This window comes from Homo sapiens, chromosome 7 (genome assembly GCF_000001405.40).
Source record: "Homo sapiens chromosome 7, GRCh38.p14 Primary Assembly".
In the NCBI taxonomy this organism is placed as follows: Eukaryota; Metazoa; Chordata; class Mammalia; order Primates; family Hominidae; genus Homo; species Homo sapiens.
In genome coordinates, this window is record NC_000007.14 from 47,947,611 (window position 1) to 47,961,573 (window position 13,963).

At 44.5% G+C, this 13,963-nt stretch overlaps 1 protein-coding gene across 2 annotated transcripts in view, besides 1 other annotated feature; it reads right to left on the minus strand.

Moving 5' to 3' along the window:
* The window catches only part of PKD1L1 (polycystin 1 like 1, transient receptor potential channel interacting), a 186,293-nt gene extending 172,997 nt beyond the window's left edge, over window positions 1-13,296 (minus strand). The window contains exons 1-2 of one of the 2 annotated variants that reach the window (XM_017011798.3): window positions 4,633-13,296; window positions 787-889 (exon numbers count right to left, since the gene is read on the minus strand). In XM_017011798.3, coding sequence (XP_016867287.1) covers window positions 787-889; window positions 4,633-4,750 — 221 coding nt within the window. In that variant the 5' untranslated portion in view covers window positions 4,751-13,296. Of the gene's footprint in view, window positions 1-786; window positions 890-4,632 lie in introns of those variants that run through there. The other variant, NM_138295.5, reaches the window with a different exon arrangement.
* Window positions 3,933-4,062: an enhancer, noted in NCBI's record as "active region_25984". NCBI's record gives its function as "activates an Ori minimal core promoter by ATAC-STARR-seq in GM12878 lymphoblastoid cells {active_cell/tissue: GM12878}" and the evidence as "EXISTENCE:reporter gene assay evidence [ECO:0000049][PMID:35858748]".

Genomic DNA, 13,963 nt, shown 5'->3' on the forward strand with positions numbered 1-13,963 from the left:
GCCCAGCCTCAACAACACATGGGTGCTGGCGCGCACAGAGCATGGGGAAGAGGGTTTAGAAATAAGACCCATGGAGGCTGGGTGCGGTGGCTTATGCCTGTAATCCCAGTACTTTGGGAGGCCAAGGCGGGCAGATCACAAGGTCAGGAGATCGAGACCATCCTGGCTAACACAGTGAAACCCCGTCTCTACTAAAAATACAAAAAATTAGTCGGGCGTGGTGGTGGGCGCCTGTGGTCCCAGCTACTTGGGAGGCTGAGGCAGGATAAATGGCATGAACCCAGGAGGCAGAGCTTGCAGTGAGCCAAGATCGCACCTCTGCACTCGAGCCTGGGCAACAGAGAGAGACTCCGTCTCAAAAAAAAAGAAATAAGACCCCTGGGCCAAGACCCCATGATCTCTTCCTGTGCCAGGTTTCTCCTGGTCTCCATGCAAGGGACCTAGCAGACAAGCAGATAGCTTAACTTTGTCTACTACCAGGCAGCAGAAAGTCCTCGAACTTGGAAGGTATCCTGCATTTGCAGGAAGAGCAATCAGCACTTCTCATGGCTGAAGGCATCCGCTTGGAGGAGTCTTCTCAAAAGCCTTCAGGAAAAAACTCCATTCTCAACACCAACTCCAACCTCTGAACTGACCCCGCCGGCCAAATGCACCCTCCTGGTACAGGGCCTCCACTCGTGCCAGAGTGAGCCCACATCCTAGAGGTGATGACTTTTGAAAGAAAATTTCTGAATGCATACTTTAAAATCAAGCTTACCAAACCCTCTGAGAACAGTGATAACTCACCTTTCCTGGTCATCAGAAATGTTCTGGGCTGCCTCCTCGGCCATGTCCTGTGCAAGCTGGTCACAAGTATGACAGTCAGCAGACCAGCTTCTTCCTACATCCTCTGGAAGACAAAGAAATAGAGCTTAATGCTTCCAGCTTCTGTACTTGTGACCTCTTATCAGGACACACATCAAACACAGAGGGAAAAATCCAAACTCCAGTAACATTTTCCCAAGCAGAAACAGCTTTTGTTTTCCTAACACTGTCAGACAAATTCCTTCCTAAGAAGTGTGCTTTTGACAGACGTGGTGGCTCATGTCTGTAATCCCAGCAATTTGGGAGGCCAAGGTGGGTGGATCACTTGAGGCCAGAAGTTTGAGACCAGCCTGGCCAATATGGTGAAACCCCGTCTCTACTAAAAATACAAAAATAGCCAAGTGTGGTGGCACACATCTGTAATCCCAGTTACCCAGGAGGCTCAGGCGAGAGAATTGCTTGAACCTAGGAGGTGGAGGTTGCAGTGAGACGAGATTGCACCACTGTGCAATAGAGTGAGACTCTGCCTCAAAAACAAAATGAAACAAAACAAAACAAAACAAAAGTGTGTTTTAGGTAGGGATCTTTGTGGCTGCCTGAAACAGATCACTACTCAAGGGAGAGACTGTACATGGAAGCTGAGAGAAGTCTGAGAATAAAAAGCTGTAACTGTTGGCTGGGCGCGGTGGCTCACGCCTATAATCCCAACACTTTGGGAGGTCGAGGTGGGCGGATCACGAGGTCAGGAGCTCGAGACCAGCCTGGCCAGCATAGTGAAACCCCGTCTCTACTAAAAATACAAAAATTAGCCAGGCATGGTGGCACGCACCTGTAGTCCCAGCTACTCGGGAGGCTGAGGCAGGAGAATTGCTCGAAACCGAGAGGCGGAGGTTGCAGTGAGCCGAGATCGTGCCACCACACTCCAGCCTGGGCAACAGAGCGAGGCTCTGTCTCAAAAAAAAAAAAAAAAAAAAAAAGCTGTAACTGTCCACAACTGCACTGGGGAACAGGATACCTTCCACAAGAGCAGAAGAGCATTCCTAAGGAAGGCTGGCAAGGCACACACTAGGCGCACTCTGTCTTACGGCAGAACCTAGGAATGATCTGGTTCCGAACCTCCTGCACCTCTCCTTGTTTGCAACTGGCGGGTCAGACTGAGTTCTCTCCATTACGAAACATTTTCTCTTATATTTTTAAAGCACTTGTTAGTTGTCTTAGTTCTTTATACCAACATTTAAACCTTCAGAGATTTTAGAAAACTTAATGTTTTACTCAGAACACTAGATATTTTTTCTCTCCACTCTGAAGAGAGTGATACCAAGAAGAGTGGGAACGTTTTCAGGCACAAGCTCTTTCTCAGATGGGAACACAGACCCCTTGAACAATGATGAACCAAGCTACGGGTGTCCGGCCTTGGATCCTGTGTTTTCTGGAACTTTGCTGCCAATGAGGTGAGTAACCAGAGCCCTGTGGTGGGTTAAGGGGCCTGCTGTTGACCTAACACACCTGTCTCCTGGGGCCTGCTGCCACCTCTGCTCTTCTCACACTGCCTTGTCAGTGCCTCTGGCTTTGTCCCCACTGTGCTTGTTGTGAGTAAATCTCAGATTTGGGGGAAATGCATACTTTCCAATTTCATTAGCAATACACTTTCAAATGCGCCTGTGACCAAGAAAAGGATAAACTGCAAACTGCAGTTTGTAAACGAACAAAATCCCTTCTTTCTGAAGCCCCTGTGATTTGCTCTGACACCTTCCTGTCAAATCTAAACAGAGTCCACTGGGTAAAGACACCTGTGCAACCCTGCCTGCTGGGCTGGCATCCATACCCACACGCACACCTGGATGCTCTGACCTTGCTGCTGCCTGTTCCTTCCTTGTGGGGCTGGACATCCTGAGAACAGGGCCTACATTTAAAGTTTGTGATGTTTTTGAAGCCAGCAGTGCTAACCAAAGATGCCAGGAAATGAGGAGGAGCAAAGAAAGTGACATAATTGAGGGAAGAAATATGCCTGCACTGCCCTACGTGGGAGGCACTCTCATAGCCACTCTCATAGCCACTCTCAGCTACTGGAGCTTAAGTTACTTACAATTAAATAGAATTAAGAATTAGCTGGAGAAACCCCGTCTCTACTAAAAATACAAAAAAATTAGCCAGGTGTGGTGATGCACGCCTGTAATCCCAGCTATCCAGGAGGCTGAGGCAGGAGAATCGCTTGAACCGGGGAGGCAGAGGTTGTGGTGAGCCAACTTCGTGCCATTGCACTCCAGCCTGGGCAATGAGCGAAACTCTTGTCTCAAAAAAAAAAAAAGAATTAGCTTTAGCTTCTCCATCATTAGCCATATTTCAAGGGCTCAGTAGCCAAGATACAAACTATACAATGTTTCCATCATTGCAGAACACCCTCGGGGCCAGCGCTGGGCTGGGCAGCCTCGCCTTTTTCCGGGCAGTGCGGCCAGCATTGTTTCCTCAGAGCAGCTGCATCCAGACAAGGGAGGGGTTCCCAGTTCATCTACATTCTTGGGCCATACTCCTCCACCTGGGGTTTGCCGAGCACTGCACTGGTACAACAGGGAGCACAACACAGAACCAAACTCACTGCTTCCCTCCCGAGGACGGAGGGGTGTGCTGCTTAAGGTGAGACGTGGATGCAGCCAAGCAAACTGGAAAACGTCGAGTTTTGAAAACTGCTTTAAGTAAAAATATTCTGAATAAAATTAGGTAAATGGCTTCCAAATATGGCCCATTTTAAGAAATCACTATCTAAGCTCCTCATTTAGAAACAAAGACTCGATCAGGATTTTGACTCTCCTTATGACCTTGCTGAAAGGAGGAAAAAACACAAGAAAAATCATTTCTTTGCATGAAATCAATGTGCAAGGACGGAACCCCCTGGCTGGAAGAGATCCTGGGAGGTCTTTCCCTTTGTCTTCATTGTTTTAAACAAAAGCCACCTCCTTAGAATTTGTTTTTAAGCCACATTCTGTATTTCAGATTTAATACTTAGTTTCTAAAACTGCTTCTTAGGTAATAGTTCACTTAGTCAACCCCTGCCTTACTCCACAGACTTAAGGTGTTTAGTATGCACATAGTTCAGAATGAATACCTGAAAGTAGGTAGCACTGCCTGAAGACTTTCAGTAGTCAAAGTAGAAAAGCAAACACAGGTGTTTACACAGTTCACAGTGTAAAAAGGCACAGAGCTGCAGTTTACACAGCACAGGGTTCCTCCTCAGATGGAAACTTCAGCAATTGTTCTCACATGGGTTTTCATACTTGAAGATGTAATAGATGGCATTTAATGATACTAAGTTTCAGATTTGGGGAAATATTACATTTGCAACTCAGGCAAGTGTATACATAAAATATACAAGGAAAAATAACACTAGAATGATGGTTATCATGAGCAACCAACTTCGTTTCTCAGGTTTCAATGCAAGCCCAGGTTCTGATCATTATCATCTCATCTTCTGCCTGCTTCAGTTTCTCACCTCCAAATGGAGCTTCCCGGGAAAGCACCTGGCCCACCAGCATCACTTGACCTTCTTCTCTTTGGATGAGCAGTAGCACATGCTGACATGTCCCTTCCTAGCAAGACTGCCAGTCACTGTCATTTCCATTCTGTTCCTTGAGGCAGCTTGTGGACCTCTACTCATTTACCTTTAGATATTCTACATCTTTTTTTAATTAACACCCTATCCCCACTCCCAGCCCACGCTCTGGGTCCCATCACACTCACGGAGACAAACACAGTGCTTGGGCAAATTTTTGTAATTAGTTGTGGTGAAAAGAAAGAAAAATTGATAAGATCTTGGTAGAATGTCAAACTTACCATCCTTTGAGCTGGTTCCCAGAGCAGGCTGCACCAAGGAGAGCAGGGGCAAGGCTGCGATCAGCCCCCTCCACCCCATTTGCAAGCAGGCTGCTCCAATGGGGCTGCTGATCAGCATTCAAATCAGGGGTGGCTTTGGGGAAGTGAGCACAGGTAGAAAGCCCATAAATGGAACCCGAAGCAACAGGGACTGGCCTTGCTCCGCCCCATGGGCTGGAGCAGTGAGCCTTCCCTGCCTCCATTAGCATCTTGGGACAAGCAGCCAATCATAAGCACCCCCTGAGAAAGAAATCTCATGCCCAGAAGAGCTCTGGGGCCTTAGCCTCCCTTCACCCCAATATGCTTCTGGGCCGTTTTCTCTGAGATAAGTATGTCCTAAGTGATGTTAATTTGCAGGGAAATATGTGTCAATCATCTGTGAGGCTCAATAGTAGCTCCACTAAAGAAAAACAACATAGTTATTGAAGTATCATGATTTTGTGAAAAATAGCTGAGTGCCCTGTAATTTGCAGTGGAAGGGCATCATGGTACACTTTTAAAGCCATTGTCAAGTTAGAAAAGACAAATTTGCTATACCTGGGACTAAAAGTAGGTACTCTGTCTTATATAAAATCCTCAATAATTTGAATTATAAATGGCACCTCTCTCTTCTGTAGTTTTCCGTGCTTTCCATTGGCTTCAAAATAAAATTAAATATCATGGCTTGATATTTAAATACCTTGATAGGCTGCCCCCAAATGCCTTGGGTCCTTTGGCCACTTGGAGTGTAGGGGAACATAACCATACCCTAACTGTTCTCTCTGCAAAGTCACATGCAGCAATTCCACTGAAGGAATGCGATGATCACAGTAGGAATCATCTTTCAGCACTACAGTTTGGTGATCACTTTGATTTTTCTGTCTCAAAAGTACATTACAAATAGGGAATTGCCATAACCACCTCTGCATTTATCTTGTTCCAATGCAATTGTTAAGAAAAGCATAACACATGTATTACATGGGGTAATGTTTTAGGCCCTCAAGCACTTATTTTGAGTAGTATACAATTATCCGTATCATCTCAGCTTCCTCACCCTCACCTGCCCACCTTGTTTCCATCAAGGTGTCCTTTCGTCTGGAGTGGTTTCTCCACACTGATTATTTGATATAGACAACTGGTATTTCATGAAGTATGAATAGAATCCTCTTAGGAAAGGACTGCTACTTATGTGAGCCCAGATCGTATGATGGTACATGCCAAGGCAGACCCAGGACAAGTCCCATGGTCCCTCTCAGCTTCCCCATGGAGCTGAGTTGGAGCACCACTGTTTCTCTTGGTTATTTCAGACCTGTCCAGTGTGAAGGGAGGCCCACCTGTCATTTGGGACAGGTTAAGCCACCAAACATCTAAGAATCACACTGGGCATTTCTTTCTAGATTTAAGACTGCATGCTCCAAAAACTGGTAAAGCCCCAGGTAGGAGCTGCTGTGGGAAGGCCAAATTTGAACTAGGTGAAGTGTTAATGAGGAAGTCCAGCATCCCATCAAGCACTTCCCTCACGAGGGCCCCTTATGTGCTCTGCCTCCTTGGCAGGGTTTATTTGCAAACAGTGAAAGAAGTGAACAGAGAAAAGACAAAAACACAAGGTAGATGCCCTCCACTCTGTTCTGGTTCTCACTTCTGTCTGGTCATGTTTTTCTTCCCCTGTAAGGGGAGGATCCTCCCCCAGAAGGCTTCACTAGAATTTTCTCTCAGCAAGGAAGATAACCAAAAAGATAATTTTAAATTGAAACTAGTATGGTAAAAAGTGGTTAGTGTATATATGTAGCCTCCTTTAAATTTTTAAATAGCTTGAGGTTAGAAACACAGGGCTGTCTGGTCACAAGGTTTGAGCCCTAAGGTCACTGGATGATGTCATGGTGCGCTAAGACACGCCAACCAAACCTCTATGAGCCTCGGAAGAGCCATGGAAGTCACCCAGTCTGCACTGTGTGCTGCCGTGAACTGGCAGCCTCTGGTTAGCAGCGTATTTTCACTGAGAAAAAAGCCAATTTTTGCTTGTTTTGTTTGGTAAGGCTTATGTTATGGTTTAAGTGTGTCCCCTAAATTCATAAGTTAGAAGCTTGGTCCTCTGCAGTGGTGTTGGGAGGCAGAGCCTGATGAGAAGTGATGAAGTCACAAGGACTCTGCTCTCATGATGGCTTAATGCTGTTACCAGGAGAATGAGTTGTTATCAAAGATGGTCTGCCCCTCTTGCCTCCTTTCTGTCTCCTGCACCCACTTCTGCCTTGTGCCCTTCTGCCAGGGGACAATACAGCAAGGAGGCCTTCACCAGATGCATCCCCTTACCTTACTTTGGACACCCCAGCCCCTAAAACTGTAATTACTCTTTTCTTTATAAATGACTCAGTCTGTGGGAATCAGCTATAGCCACACAACACAGACTAAGACCGCTTATAAATGCTCACATTTTACGCTTCCCAATTTAGAAACCTGCCAATGAGTAATGCTATTTTCTCTTATTCCAACCACCACAGGTGGTCAGCATGTTTAGTCACTGTTAGAGAAACTGTCTCAAGAGGCTGAATGACTTGCCCCAGACTAGGACGCTGGAAAGAGCCAAAATCCATTCCCAGATCTTAGGGTGTGGAATTCAGCATCTTTCCAAGCTACATATGCTGGTTATGGTTGTAAGATTGGTTCATTTGGTGCTACAGGCGAATAGGAACTAGATTCCAGGAAGGCGGCTACATTTTCTCGTGCTACCCACAGGGTCATCTTCCTTACTGTCCAGTGATTTGTGAAGTCCTGTGCGTGGCTGGTCTCTCCCAGGATCTTTTAGCCTACAACTTAATAACTGGTCACTCTGCCCTCACTGCAAAGACTGTTACAGACACTGATTGATCCTCATCCATGTTGGGCCCATGGTAAAAAGAGATGATTCTGCAATGTGGTGCCACCTTATTGATCGAGACTCCAGTATTCTAAACCTGGCATAACATCAAAATGACAAATAAAAAGTTTAATTTTCTATTTATGAAAATAAGGATGTGCTGTGAAAAGAGTCTGAAGTCCAATGTTCGGGAAACTGTAATTGCCGAGTGAATGTGTAAGGCACTCAAGTAACAAATATTTATTATTTAGTCCCTTAAAAATAATTTACTTTATTACAAAGATAGTAATACAATTTCTAGAAAATACATGCATGTACAAAGATTGAAATAAAAAAAACACTCATAAATATCCAGATTTAAATGTCAGCATATACCTTCCTGATCTTTTTCTATCATACTGTATCTATCAACATCTAACCTGCTTTTTTAACTATAAGTCATACATTTTGCCATATCAGTACACTTTTTTCTGTAACATTATTTTTAGAGCATATCAAACCATAGTTTATTTAACCAATCCCCAATTAATTCATAATTAGAATATTTCGTGTTTTTCCAGTATAACAGTTCTATAATCTTTGATTATAACCTTTGTGTAAATTCCTATAAGTATTGAGTCAAAGGAGACACACATCTTTTCAGGCATTACATATAAAATAAATACTAAACTAGACTCCAGGAAAGTGGTATCAATTCACATTCCCAATAGCACTGTCCCAATGGGGCTAATTTATCTCCTTTTTAATCTCAGCGTATTTCCAGTTATAACATACCATTTTTACCTCTTGATTCAACAATTGTACTTAGAAGAAGCTCTAAAAATCCAAAACTGAAGCTTCCTTTTAGACCCTCCCTATTACAATCCGTATGAAAGTACAGAATTCGAGAGTGACATCAGCCAAACGGAGAAGTGAAGCTTACTGGCTTCTCTCCCTACCACATAATTTCAACTAGCAAATACCCAGTGGCAAGATTATTGCCCTGAATATCCCAGAAATTGGGAGTGAAGCTGTGACAACTCACTGGACCACAGAGCCAAGAAAAACCATGAACAGAGGGTAAAGAGAATGGTTCTGTTTGATCATAACACCTCTCCCGCAAGCCCACATAGCACCGCACTTGGAGAATTTCTCTGGAATCAGTTTCTACAGTGGGAAAAGAGAGCGGGAGGTGGGCATTCACCTTCCGCACCATTCTGAGACTCTTCACAGGGGCACACTATGGTCCTTTCCCCCTGGAAGCACTGCAGGTGCCAGCAGGGTTAGCCTGCTAGGTGTAAATTAGAAACAAAGAATGGGGGTGGGGCTCACAGCAGTCAACAAACAAATCACAGAGTGGACTGCAGGGAACCTGGGCTTAGGGCACCATTTGGCACTACACGGGCTGTAGCGTTCACGGGCTTAAAGACCAAAAAAGACAGTATGCTTACAATTTCTGGACAGACCTACTATACAAGGACAATCACAGACAAAGCCAGATTGCAAAGACTGTTTATAAATACCTACATATTCAATGCACAGATATCAATGTATAACTACAAAGATGAAGAACAGTCAGGGAAACATGATGTCACCAAACAGACAAAGTGCCAGTGACTGACTCTAAAGAGGCAGAGATATATGACATTCCTGAGATAATTCAAAATAGCTGTCTAAAGGTATAAAACTCCCTGGTAAAAATAACTCAGGAACTGATAACCAAATGATGATGATGATGATGATCAACCCAGAGGACTGGTTGAATTCGTTGCTCAAACCAGAGAAAAACACTGTCCTACTAAATGATACTATTTTAAATAAATTGATTGGTCATTACTGTCAAGCAATTGAAGTAATTTGTCCAGATACATATAAAGATGAAGGTTTTGCTCAAATTCAAGTGAGATTCAACAGCTGAATTAAAGCTATTCAAGAGCCAGATGATGTATAAGTGGCTATAGCAAACTGCAAGACATTTGCTTTTGTGCATATATCTTCTGCACAGTTTGAAATGTCTCAAGGTAATTTCAAAAAAAGTAAACACCTTCTTCATAAAGCTGTAAAATGTGGAGCAGTACCACTAGAAATGCTGCAAATTGCCACGCAGAATTGAAACCTCCAACAAAGTAGCTGCTTTCAGCGAAGGAAAAGAGTTCATCAACATTGACAATATTAACTACCCAAGAATCATTCTCTAGTTCATTGAACATTTACAGAATAGGAACATGCTGTAATTAGGCAATTAGGCAAGAGAAAGAAAAGGCATCTAAATCGGAAAGGAGGAAGTTAACTGTCTCTGTTTACAGATGACACGATCATAAGTAGAGAAAATCCTAAAGACTCCACCAAAAAAACTGTTCGAACTAAAAAACATTCAGTAAAGTTTCAGGATACAAAATCTACAAACAAAAACTAGTATTATTTCTTTTTTTTGAGACAAGATCTCACTCTGTTGCCCACGCTGAAGTGCAGTGTTGCAATCACAGCTCACTGCAGCCTCAACTCCCTGGGCTCAACCAATCCTCCCACCTCAGCCTCCCAAGTAGTTGGGACCACCACACCTGGCTAACTTTTGTATTTTTTGTAGAGAAAGGGTTTTGCCATGTTGCTCAGGCTGGTGGCAAACTCGCGAGCTCAAGCAACTCACCTGCCTTGGCCTCCCAAAGTGCTGGGATTACAGCCATAAACCAGTATCATTTCTATACATTAATGGTGAACTATATGAAAAAGAAATCAAGAAAATCCCATTTACAATACAATTAAAAAAAAATATATATATATATATCTAGAAATAAACTTAACCATGGTGAAAAATCTCTAGGATGAAAACTATAAAACACTGATGAAAGAAACTGAAGACACAAATAAATGGAAAGTTATCCTGTGTTCATGGATTGAAAGAATTATTTCTTAAATGTTCATACCGTCCAAAGCAATCTGCAGATTCAGTGCAATTCCTATCAAAATACCAATGACATTCTTCACAGATAGAAAAAAAAATCCTAAAATTCGTATGTAACCACAAAAGACCTTGAATAGCCAAAGCAATCTTGAGCAAAAAGAACAAAGCTGGAGGCATCATAATACCTGACTTCAAAATATGCCATAAAACTAAAGTTATAAAAACAGCATGGTACTGGTATAAAAACAGATAGATCAATGGAACAGAGAACCCAGGAATAAATCCACACATTTACAGCCAACTGATATTCAACAAAGGCACCAAGAACACACATTTATTGAAAAGAAAGTACAGTCTTTCAATAAACGATGCTGGGAAAACTGAAAATCCACATGCAGAAGAATGAATTAAACCCTTATCTCCCACCATATACACAAATCAACTCAAGATGAATTAAAGACATAGATTTAAGACCTGAAACTATGAAACTGCTAGAGGAAACACAGGAGAAATGCTTCATTACATTTATATGGGCAAGAAGTTTATGAACAAGACTTCAAAAGCACAGGCAACAAAAGCAAACAATGGGCAAATCAAACTACATCAAACTAAAAAGCTTCTGCACAGCAAAGGAAACAACCGATAGTGAAGCGACAACCTATAGAATGGGAGAAAATATTATATTTGCAAAGTATACATCCAACAAAGGTTTAATATCTAAAATATAAAAGGAACTCAACTTAATAGTAAGAAAACAAATAACCCTGTTTAAAAATGGTCAAAAGCCCTCTCCCTCTCCCTCTCCCTCTCCCCACGGTCTCCCTCTCCCCACGGTCTCCCTCTCCCTCTCTTTCCACGGTCTCCCACTGATGCCGAGCCGAAGCTGGACTGTACTGCTGCCATCTCGGCTCACTGCAGCCTCCCTGCCTGATTCTCCTGCCTCAGCCTGCCGAGTGCCTGCGATTGCAGGCGCGCGCCACCATGCCTGACTGGTTTTCGTATTTTTTTGGTGGAGACGGGGTTTCGCTGTGTTGGCCGGGCTGGTCTCCAGCTCCTAACTGCGAGTGATCCGCCAGCCTCGGCCTCCCGAGGTGCCGGGATTGCAGATGGAGTCTGGTTCACTCAGTGCTCAATGGTGCCCAGGCTGGAGTGCAGTGGCGTGATCTCGGCTCGCTACAACCTCCACCTCCCAGCCGCCTGCCTTGGCCTCCCAAAGTGCCAAGATTGCAGCCTCTGCCCGGCCGCCACCCCGTCTGGGAAGTGAGGAGCGTCTCTGCCTGGCCGCCCATCGTCTGGGATGTGAGGAGCCCCTCTGCCTGGCTACCCAGTCTGGAAAGTGAGGAGCGTCTCTGCCCGGCCGCCATCCCATCTAGGAAGTGAGGAGCGCCTCTTCCCGGCCGCCATCCCATCTAGGAAGTGAGGAGCGTCTCTGCCCGGCCGCCCATCGTCTGAGATGTGGGGAGCGCCTCTGCCCCGCCGCCCCGTCTGGGATGTGAGGAGCGCCTCTACCCGGCCGCGACCCCGTCTGGGAGGTGAGGAGCGTCTCTGCCCAGCCGCCCCGTCTGAGAAGTGAGGAGACCCTCCGCCTGGCAACTGCCCCATATGAGAAGTGAGGAGCCCCTCCGCCCGGCAGCCACCCCATCCGGGAGGGAGGTGGGGGTCAGCCCCCGCCAGGCCAGCCGCCCCGTCCGGGAGGGAGGTGGGGGGGTCAGCCCCCCGCCCAGCCAGCCGCCCCGTCCGGGAGGGAGGTGGAGGGGTCAGCCCCCCGCCCGGCCAGCCGCCCCGTCCGGGAGGTGAGGGGCGCCTCTGCCCGGCCGCCCCTACTGGGAAGTGAGGAGCCCCTCTGCCCAGCCACCACCCCGTCTGGGAGGTGTACCCAACAGCTCATTGAGAACGGGCCATGATGACAATGGCGGTTTTGTGGAATAGAAAGGGGGGAAAGGCGGGGAAAGGATTGAGAAATCGGATGGTTGCCATGTCTGTGTAGAAAGAGGTGGACACGGGAGACTTTTCATTTTGTTCTGTACTAAGAAAAATTATTCTGCCTTGTGATCCTGTTGATCAGTGACCCTATCCCCAACCCTGTGCTCTCTGAAACATGTGCTGTGTCCACTCAGGGTTAAATGGATTAAGGGTGGTGCAAGATGTGCTTTGTTAAACAGATGCTTGAAGGCAGCATGCTCGTTAAGAGTCATCACCACTCCCTAATCTCAAGTACCCAGGGACACAAACACTGCGGAAGGCCGCAGGGTCCTCTGCATAGGAAAACCAGAGACCTTTGTTCACTTGTTTATCTGCTGACCCTCCCTCCACTATTGTCCTATGACCCTGCCAAATCCCCCTCTGTGAGAAACACCCAAGAATGATCAATAAAAAAAAATTAAAAAAAAAAAAAAAAACTGTAAAAAAGAAAAAAAAAGAGCTCCATATTTACAGCTGTAATATCAAATAAAGTGATTATTTTTTACAACCCCCTTAACACCTTTTGGAGATGGCGTTTCTGTTTTCAGAAATTAACGTAAAATCAAGAAGCAAGATTCCATAAGCTCAGAACTCTGGACAGCTGATCAGGTTTACCTATGGTGCTTTGCCTTTAACTAGAGTGTGTGACGGTAGATTATTTCAGATATGTATGTAAGACTGTTTCCTGAACAATAAGATGTATGAAAGGAGCAGAAATAAATAATTTTTCTAATTAAAAAAAAAAAAAACATGGTCAAAAGACCTGAATAGACTTCTCAAAAGAAGACAAGCAAATGGCCAACAGGTATATGAAAAAATGTTCAACATCACTAATCATTAAGAAAATGAAAATCAAAATCACAATGAAATATCACCTCAGTCACCTCATACCAGTTAAAATGGCCATTACCAAAAAGACAAAAGATTAGCTTTGTTTGGGCCTTTCTTGGAAAAAAAAAAAAAAAGACAGAAGGTAAGTGTTGGCAAGGATGCGGAGAAAAAAAAAGCTTTTGTATGCTATTGGAGGAAATGTAAATTAGTATCCCCATTAAGGCAAACAGTATGGAGGTTCTTCAAAATATTAAAAATAGAACTAGCATATGATCCAGCAATCCCACTACTGGGTATTTACCCAAAGGAAATGAAATCAGTACATCAAAAAGGCATCTTGCACTCCCACGTTCACTGTAGCATTATTCATTATAGCCAAGTTATGGAAGCAACCTAAGTGACCATCAAGAGATGAATGGATAAGCAAAATGGACATATACACAATGGAGTACTATTCAGCAATAAAAAAGAACAAAATCTTGTCATTTGCAACCACATGGATGAACCCCTGGAGAATATTATGTTAAGTGAAATAAGCCGGGTACAGACAGTACACGATCTCACTTATATTTAGAATCTATAAAAGCAAATCTCATAGGAGATAGTAGAATGGTGGTTACCAGATGCTTAAGTGTTTGGGGGCAGCGGGGAAGGCAGATCCTGGTCAACGATATATAGTTACAGTTAGATAAAAAGAACTGCTGGGTGTGGTGGCTCATGCCTGTGCTCCTAGCACTTTGGGAGGCCGAGGCAGGCAGATTTCTTGAGCCCAGGAGTTTGAGACC